Source organism: Homo sapiens, chromosome X, assembly GCF_000001405.40.
Source record: "Homo sapiens chromosome X, GRCh38.p14 Primary Assembly".
NCBI classification, from domain to species: domain Eukaryota; kingdom Metazoa; phylum Chordata; class Mammalia; order Primates; family Hominidae; genus Homo; species Homo sapiens.
The window spans coordinates 55,114,853-55,124,153 of record NC_000023.11 but is presented as its reverse complement, the minus strand read 5'-3'; the positions used below and the strand labels follow the sequence as shown (position 1 = coordinate 55,124,153).

The window sequence follows — 9,301 nt, the reverse complement described above, 5'->3', positions numbered from 1 at the left end:
TTAGGGAATAATGCCTCAAGTGAGCATGCGCACAATTTCAGTAAACACGCTGTGCATACGGCCCCTCCCTAGTGCTGGTAGGGTCACTGTGCATGCGGACGGTCCTCCTCAAGGGAAAAATCAAGGGAGAAGAAATGCAAACCCAGAACCATGCCAATGTATAAAGCCCCAAGTCAAGGGCCAAATGGGGCACTTGGATCTCTCAAGTCATCCACTTGGCCTTCTTCCTAATGAACTTTGCTTCCTCTCATTCCTGCTCACTCCTGCTCTAGAGCTTGCCTTGGTCTCTCCCTCTGCCTCATACCTACTTCTACCCCTCGCCTGAATTCTTTCCTCTGAGGAGGCAATGATCAAGTTGCTGAAGATCCATACAGATTCACCGCTAGCAGCACTGGTGAAAATGAGTGACTGCAGCTTTTTTTCCAACTAAACCTTTGACCATGGTTTTATCTTTGCACCTTCAAGATAAAAATTGAAAAGATGAGGTAAACTAAAAATAAAATCCCAACCCCCCCAATGCCTGAATGGATCCCTTCTTGACCAAAGGGACCCTAGAAAAACTTTAAAACTGTAACTGAAAAGTAGGTTAGTTGCTTGCTGCATGTAGAGGTTTAATTAACAAGAGCAAGGCCACAAAAAAAAGTGGATTTATTCCAAAGCTAGCTTGGGGGAAGGGGCACAAAGCATCCTGCCTTTAAATGTGCCACTTCACCTTTGGAGCAGAAAGTGGGCATTTTTATAAGGTGAGGGGGAAGTGAACAAGTGCAGGGGTCCCCCTGCTATCTTGGTGTCTTATCTATGGAACAGGTGAGTTGGTACCTTTCCAGGCAGAAGTCATAAAGTGGCTAAGCTTTCATGCTTTCAATAAGCCCTCCTGGTGGATGAAAGTTCCAAGGCAACCCCTGGAAGATGGAAGTTCCAAGGCAGCCCCCTGGAGGTAAAAGTTCCATGGTGCTTTGGTCTGCAAATCAACTGTCAGCTCTGGAGAAGAGATCTGTCTTGGAGCAGCACATAGTTTGAAGAACTTGTCCTGTAGGGAATGTCTGGTAAGAGGGAAGTGAAGGGTTATATTTGTATTTCTATGGACTAAGTAGGAAATGGAGAGCTGGGGAAATGAGAAAAGAGAGAGAGAGGAAAAAATAATTAAACAACCTCTAAAAAAATGAAGGTTCTCAGTAACAAAGCTGAGCTCCTGGCCATGAAGGGAAGGGAAGTCAGACATGCCCCGTTAAACCCCTCTCCCTTTTATGGTTAAGACACAGCAGCTTCCCAGCATTAATGTTAAAACAGAGATCATAAGACTGACAGAATGGACTCTTTGTGGCAACAAGATACCAAACTACAAACAAGACCTAAAGCCATGCCAGACAAGAGTAACAAACTCTGTTCTAACTGCTACAAGGTGTTTCTTTTTCTCTAGCAGCCAAAGGAGCACTGGTCTAGAGATAAGCAATATTAAAATAATTGTAGCTTATCACCAGATACTAACTGACCTCCTGTTTCACAAGCCATAATGACAACTTTGATTGGACAAGAGACTGATTTCAGGAACTTTCTCCAGATAAGAAGACCACCAATCATGGACTGGTTCTGGTCAGTTTACAGAGGCTTCCCACTTGAGTGCTTTTGCATCCTGAGAAGACCTTTTGACATATAGGGCCTAATTGTAATATGTTTAAATGTTAACATCTTCACCACAAGGTTAACATGGGTCATATGTTACATACGTTTGTTCAATAAGCATGCATCAGGACCACCTTCATGAATATTTCTAGCTTCTTCTGTAACCTGATGAATATGTATATTTAGCCAATCTGTTCAGAATAAAGCACCTTACCCCAACCCCTCCTTCTTTGAAGTGCACCTCTCTGATCTTTGCCAGAGGCTATGCTTCCCAGCCTGTGAGAAGGCCACCTTGCAGGCTGTAACCCTTTATAAGAAATAGTCTCCTTTTTCCAAATTTATAATCCTGTTTTTTTTTACATTAACAATACTTAATCATAGAATTATCCCCCACTTCCTGACGGTGTTCAATTAGAGAAAAGCCCCACTTTTTGAGTCCTCCTGCAAATCACCTAACATAAGCCCAAGTCCTATAGAAAAGATTCTAAGAAGTACATTCTAGCACCATATTAATGAGATGCCCCAATGTGCTCCGTGGTGTATGTTTTCTCCCTCCGTGAGACTTTGTTCAAGGTGTTCCTCACGTTCTTTGTCTGGAGGGTACCAGCAGAAGATACATGATGGGTTTACATAGCACAAATGATTAAAGTCTCATAACTTACGCCTGTTTGGCACTTTGTTTTAAAATATTTCAGAGTATCATTTTGTTTTATGCCAAGAGATTTTTCTAAAATTAAGTATGGCATCATCATAAAACAGTAGAACTGAAGTGCAGGGAAAGCAGCAACTGTAAAAGCGACTCTTGAATTGCAGGGTTCTAGGAAATGCTATCCTAAGTCATACTCTGCTAAGAATTATGTCATCTTTTGTGTGGAGTTCACGGAAAAGTTAATCAGGTTCTCATCGTCATCCCTGAATCTTACAGCTGACTAGAAGTGTTTGCAGGATAACATAAATATACAAACTCTGGATTGGAATGGGAAGATTGAGGGGAGGTTTCTGTCAGTCTTACTTCCAAATGAAGTTAGTTAATTCAATAAACAGGAACTCAGTGACATTTAGCAGGTTTCATCCAGCCAACTGATGCTGGATCTGCAAAGACCAATTAAACATAGTTCTTGCCCTCAAGGTGTCATAGGAGGCAGAAAGAAATTATTTAGGTAGACATGATAAAGCCAGTCCCTGGCAGAAAACTCCTTTTAACAAAAAGCAGCTCAAAAATAGCTCCCTTTCTAACCTTATGCAATTCAAAGAAATCACTTCTCTTCTAACAACAAGCAACCTGAAAGAGCAGACAGTAAAACACAGATAAGACAGCTCAGACACAGAAGGAGGTGGGGGAAGTCTCCTGGGTAATTATCAAACTTCACACTTATACAATGGGCCCCAGTAAAACAGTGGGCCTTAATAAGGACATTCTTTTCCCTTTAGGCACACTAAGCTAGAGAAGCTAAAAACACACTCCAGGGGATGCCTGCAGCTGCAAGAAGATGTACTGAAACAGACACAGAAACTCTCCCTCCCAGATAAGCAGGACAAAGAAACACAGACTAAGAGTCAGCCTATGTGGTCAGGGAATGGGATAAGAGCTGATAAAAAAAAAAAACAAAACAAAACAAAAACTCTGCTCTGTACAGATAGCACACCTCGTCCTAACTAAACTGTCAGGCCCTAGGAGGATAAGACATCCCCTCTTCACAAGCCCCCTCCTCGCTGCTAGCCCATTTATAAAAACCCTGACATTTTTACTACAACTTGGCAACTGGCTCAGGACCCCTCTCTGTGATGGAGAGCTGTTCTTTCCTTTTGCCTATTAAACTCCTTCTCCAAACTCACCCTGTCTGTGTGTGTGTCTGCGATCTCGATCTCCTTGGCCATGAGACCAAGAACCTTGGTATTTACCCCAGACAACGAGGCTGCTTCAAAGGGTCTCACAGTCTCCTGGGAGAGGAGATCCATTAATTCAATCCAGAGTTACCTGTGATGGCCTATGGTGTGCTGGGCACTGTGCTAGCTGCTGTGCATACAACAGTGATCAAAAGAGGCAGAGGAATCCACCCTGGAGGAGTCTACGTTCTCTGAGGAGTGACTTTAGGGGAGTGACTGACAATTTACAAGCACTGAAAGACATTAATAAGCAATGGCTCTACTAATCCAAACTTGATTCTGTCTCTGTAAGTAGCTTTGAAAAGTCCCATATGCTACAAATTCTGTATCACATGCTATATTTCCATTATTCCCTATTCTTACATGCCCACACCAGAGTCACTGAGCTGAGTAGGGCACACCATGATGCGATTGTGATTACATATCCACCAAAAAACACCCCTGATGGGCCAAGAAAATACAACAGTTCTGTACATGTTACATGAAGAGGCTAGGCTGTGGAGAATTTGTTACCTAGGGGAGCCCTTGTGGTAGCTTCCTCCAGTGGACAGCAAACCCCCACGACTATACTTAAGCTATACTAGCTTGTCTCTCTATTCATTCTCATTTTCTTTGAAAACTCCCAGGAATGTTTTATTCTTCTCTAACTGCATTTAAGCTGTAAACAGGAAACCTACAATAATCATATAATAATAACCACAAAACCCACATAGCTGAAAATTTTTTTAAAACACTAAGTATCTCATGACTCAGAGGATAGATTTTGCTGAAAGATATGAAATACTTTATTTGGGAGGATATCTGTGGAGTAATGCTCCAAGTAGTAGAGTCTACTGCTGCAGACTCTGTGGGGACAACATGTTCCTAATATGTAAGTTCCAGACTCTTCAAACACTACTCTAGCCCCAGATAAAATAGCAAAAGGGTGAGCTTCCAATTAGTAGGAGTGCAGAAACAGATAATTATGCAAGCAATTACAACAAACTGATGTGCTCTACCTAACACTTTAAGAGAATGAAGGTAGGCTAAAAGAGGATTTGGCAGGGAAAACTAGCCTAATGGAGGGGTGACAGAGAAAGCTTGCCTGAGGAAGTGCTCTGCAAGCTGAAATAACCAGAAGATCCCCAGAGGAAGGCAGAGTGTGTGTTTGGGGGGAATATTAAACAAAGATGGGAAAACATGGCTAAGGTTCTGTGAGCCAAAGACAATACAGATAACCTGGTGGCCTTGATTGTCTCAACCCCTTCTCTACAGGGGCCACATTTTATTTTCTGGATTTGACCTGAATTTCAATACATTCCAGTGTTTGGATGTGTATCAATGTTTTCAAGCAACTTCCTTCTGATGGGCATTTAGATCATTTGAAGTTTTCTGCTCCTGCCAAGAAAACTAGAGTGATAACATTGTTCAAAAATCTTTGTATGCCTGTGTTGTTATTTCCTAGGAATAAACAATTTTTTTTTTTGAGACAGGGTCTTCCTCTGTCGCCTAGGCTGGAGTGCAGTGGCACTATCTCTGCTCACTGCAACCTCCACCTCCCAGGTTTAAATGATCCTTTCACCTCAGCCTCCTGAGTAGCTGGGACTACAGGCACACGCCACCATGCCAAGTTAATTTTTATATTTTTTGTAGAGATGGGGTTTCGCCATGTTGCCCAGGCTGGTCTCAAATTCCTGGACCCAGGCAATCCACCCGCCTCAGCCTCCCAAAGTACTGGGATTATGGGATGACCCACTGCCCCTGGTTGGAATAAATAATTTGAAGGGAAGTTACCGTATCTGAGGGTTTTTGTGCTTATACCATTGGTGCTTATTCCCAGGCTGTACAGTCCTACCTGCAAGGGTGCTAATGCTGGTTCACCACATCCTCACTGTGGTAGGTATTCTCTAAATATGGCCATCATCAAGAACTTCCTTCCCTGTCTGCACTCATTGATTGTCATGCTATGAGATGGAGTCTAACTCCCTTCCCCTTGAATATGGGCTGTGTTGGAGCAATAGAACGTGGCAGAAGTGATGCATGTTTCTTCCAAGTCTAGGTCATAAGAAGACTTAATTCCACCCATGTCTCCTAAAACTCTCACTCTTGGAGTGTTCCTTCTGAGAACACAAACATCATGCTAAGAGAACCCCAAGAGATAGGGAAAGGCCAGGTGGAGGATACAAAGTTGTAAACCTCAAATAAGCCAACAGTCAGCATGAAAATCCAGTCATGTGAGTGAGTCTACTTGGAAGTCCAGGCCAGTGGAGCCTTTGGAACACCACAGTTGCCATTCATAACTGACTACAACTGCATGAGAGACCCCAAGAAAGCTGATACCCGCCAACCCATAGAACTATGTGGGACACAGATACATTTTTTGCTTGAAGCCGCCAAGTGGTGGAGCATTTTTTAAAATGTAGCAACAGATAACTGGATCATTCACCATCACTTTTTCTCTTTTATTTAATTATCTTACCCTGTGAGTAGGTATAAGGAGGATGATCAGATTTTAGCCCATATATAGAATATCTCTTATGCCCTTGTTTAATTAAAGAAATGAGATCCAGGCAATCCTACTGATTAGATATTAGGTGACTGGTATAATGATGAGTCAGAAGTTGTCATCGCCCAGGACCCCAGGACCAAACACTAGAACCTTCTAACATATTTTACTATTTCTTGATGTAAGACATTATAGGACAGGGTTTAATAAAACTGGCTTTGGAATGAAGCAGATCTGAGTTAGAATCTGAGCTCCAGCACTTACTACTTCTGTGAACTTAGGCAGTTACTATGATTCTGTGGACCTCCATTTCCTGATTGGCTAACTGGGATGATGGGAACAGTTAAAAGATAAGTGAAGGCACATCTTTTGATGCTGTGTCTGGTACGTTAGAAGGAGTAAGTAAATGAGAACTGTTATTGCTATTATTATTAGTAGTAGTAGTAGTAGTAGCAGCAGCAGCAGTAACAATAGCAGTAGCAGCAACAGTATTGTGATTTATTAAATGCCCAATATATTCTAGGTATTGTTATCATTATATAAGGGTTTTTTAGTCAAAAGCAGTTTGAATCTCTTCTTGTCTGCCTGGAACATGGCATCAATTCTAGATCCATATCACCCTCTTCCACGCTTCCTTGATCAGGGAAGATATAGCTTTTCTCTGCAGGATAACTTGTAGGAGGCCAGCCCTGGTTATAGCCTCCATGAGTCTTGTCTGGGTGAGGCCTTGAGACCTAATTCCATTTCTCCTGCTCTCCTGGAGGTGGGAAACATGGAGACCCAAACAGCCCAGCCATGGCCTGGGAAAAGTCATGCACACTGTGCCTGGGTAAGCCACACATCAGCATGGAGGACTATGCCAGGACAGCTGGGCTTCTAGTCTATCCTTGGTCCAGAAAAAGGGCATTGAGTGTAGGGGCAAGATTTATGTCATTTTTTCATTTCCTTTTTTTTCTGCAGACCGTACTACTCTTAGTTGTTCTGTGCTAAGCGGAATTAAAATGACAAACTGTAAATGAGTGAAGACCTCACAGACAGATTTCACAGATGTGTCTGGAGAAAATGGTACCATTTCCTCCCTGGGTTTGTGGGACCTTTTGTAAGTGCCAATGGGATGGGTGAGACCTCTTTGAAGTCTCTGAATGGGATCTGAGATTCCTGCCGGACAAATGTACAGAAAGTCTGAGCCCTGAACAAAGGGCTTTTCCTACTTTTAAACATCTTAAGGCGGGAACTACGTGAGGCAGGAAGCAAGTTACAGAAGCAAGAAACAAAGGCAGCATTTACAACATTTCTTACATCTTGAGAGAAACATGTCTTGCAACCTAAACTTATCGGTCTTGCGACCCTGCAGCCGTGCAGGAACTCGCTGGGCCTGTAATAAACTTTGAGGAATGTGGAGCTGGGGAGTATAGATAAGGTCCACTGTCCACAGAGAGAAGACAGGCTGTTAATATTCTCTTTTAACTTGACTGTAAGGTCGGGGGGGGTCATATTTTGCAGCAACTTTAAGAGGATTTTAAAATATCTATTACTACTATTAGGTTATAGTTGATTTCATTAATTCCTTCTTCAATTTAAAGCTATGGAGTTTGTGACAAATTGTTATGGCAGCAATGGAAGGTTAATTCAATAGGGAAACACATTTCTCATATTGAAGTAATCAGAGAATCTCATTCTAGAACATATGAGGTATCATTAGACATGTTTCAATATTTTTGATCTCCTTCATTAGCTTATACTTCTTTAAACAAGTTTGTCAGGAATATCTAGTGAGTGAATGACTCCTTGGATAACCAGTTTGCCTGTGTGGAGCAGATATTGGGCATCAGAGTTGCACTGTTATTGGAAATTTGGTCATATGATAATATGTCAAACAATCAAGTGCTCATGGCTTTGCTTGGCTCCATGGCTTTGTTTGGCTCCATTGCTCCAAGAAAAATAAGAAAGGATTTCCATATGGCAATGAGCAGTATTTATTAACAATGCTCAATAACTGGTGTGTGTGAATATGGAAAATCAAACAGGTGTTATCTCCTGCAAGGGAACTCCTGACATTTGATAAAATCCACTATTGTAGGGTGTTGTGAATAGATTTAAAGGGGAGCAGTGGGTTTCCAATTGATCACTGCATATGGATAGCATTTTTAATTTGTGTTTGATACTCAGTGTAACAGGCTGGTTAACACTTTGGCAGCAGTGATCCATTCATTTCTCATTAACCCACTCTGTGGATGGAGAATGGATTAAAGCTTAACGTTTTAGTAGCAATCCAGCCTATAAAAGAAGAAAGGCCTCATGTATTTATTATACTTAGCAGATTTGAAGAATGTAAAGGAGTGAACCAAGATAAGGAGGAAGTATGGGTGACGAATGTGAATCAAAACAGATGACCATATCATGATGGGTAACATTCACAAGATTAGTAACATTCACAATGCAAAGGACTTTGCATTTCAAGAGACATAGGTTGAAAATGTGTTCCACCACTTAAGTTGCTTAACCTCTCTGTTCCTCAGTTACCTCATCTGCAAGTGGGGATTATAATATTATACATCATAGCGTGTCCTGAGAGAAGCTGTTCCCGACCACTTGGGCTAAGGGGCCCCCCTCTGTGTTTCGAGCCTCCCCTTTCTCATGCCCACCATGGTTTTCATCTGTTGTTTTGTCATTATCTTCAATATGGCTCCCCGTCCCCACCAACTGTGAGCTCTTTGAGGTCTATTAACCTGCAGAAAACATGGATGTGTGAGAAAAGTCCACCAAAGCACAGATCCTGGAGCCTGGTGCTCACTGATGCTCTGACACATTTATGTATGAGTGATGATGACCCATGCCACTCAGTACAGTGTAGCTATTTTTTTGGGGGGGGTAGGGGGATGGAGTCTCGCCCTGTCACCCAGGCTGGAGTGCAATGGTGCTATCTCAGCTCACTGCAACCTCTGCCTCCTGCGTTCAAGCGATTTTCCTGCCTCAGCCTCCTGAGTAGCTGGGATTACAGGTGTGTGCCACCACTCCAGGCTATTTTTTTTTTTTTTTTGTATCTTTAGTAGAGGTGGGGTTTCACCATGTTGGCCAGGATGGTTCCGAACCCCTGACTTCGTGATCCACTTGCCTCGGCCTCCCAAAGCGCTGGGATTACAGGCGTGAGCCACCGCACCTGGCCCACTGTAGCTATTTTTATACAACTAATAAACATCAGTTAGTGTGTTGGAAATAATATACCGTAAATGACTGAATACAGCAAATCTTTCAGCTCAACTTTCTATTAATATAGAGGGTTTATGTGTTTTTTATCCCCACACC

At 42.3% G+C, this 9,301-nt stretch overlaps 1 annotated feature.

Annotated features, from left to right (window-relative positions):
• Positions 7,228-7,525: a transcriptional cis regulatory region, noted in NCBI's record as "candidate enhancer chrX.1184 targeted for multiplex CRISPR interference". NCBI's record gives its function as "positively regulates ALAS2 gene expression with high confidence in K562 cells {active_cell/tissue: K562}" and the evidence as "EXISTENCE:mutant phenotype evidence [ECO:0000015][PMID:30612741]".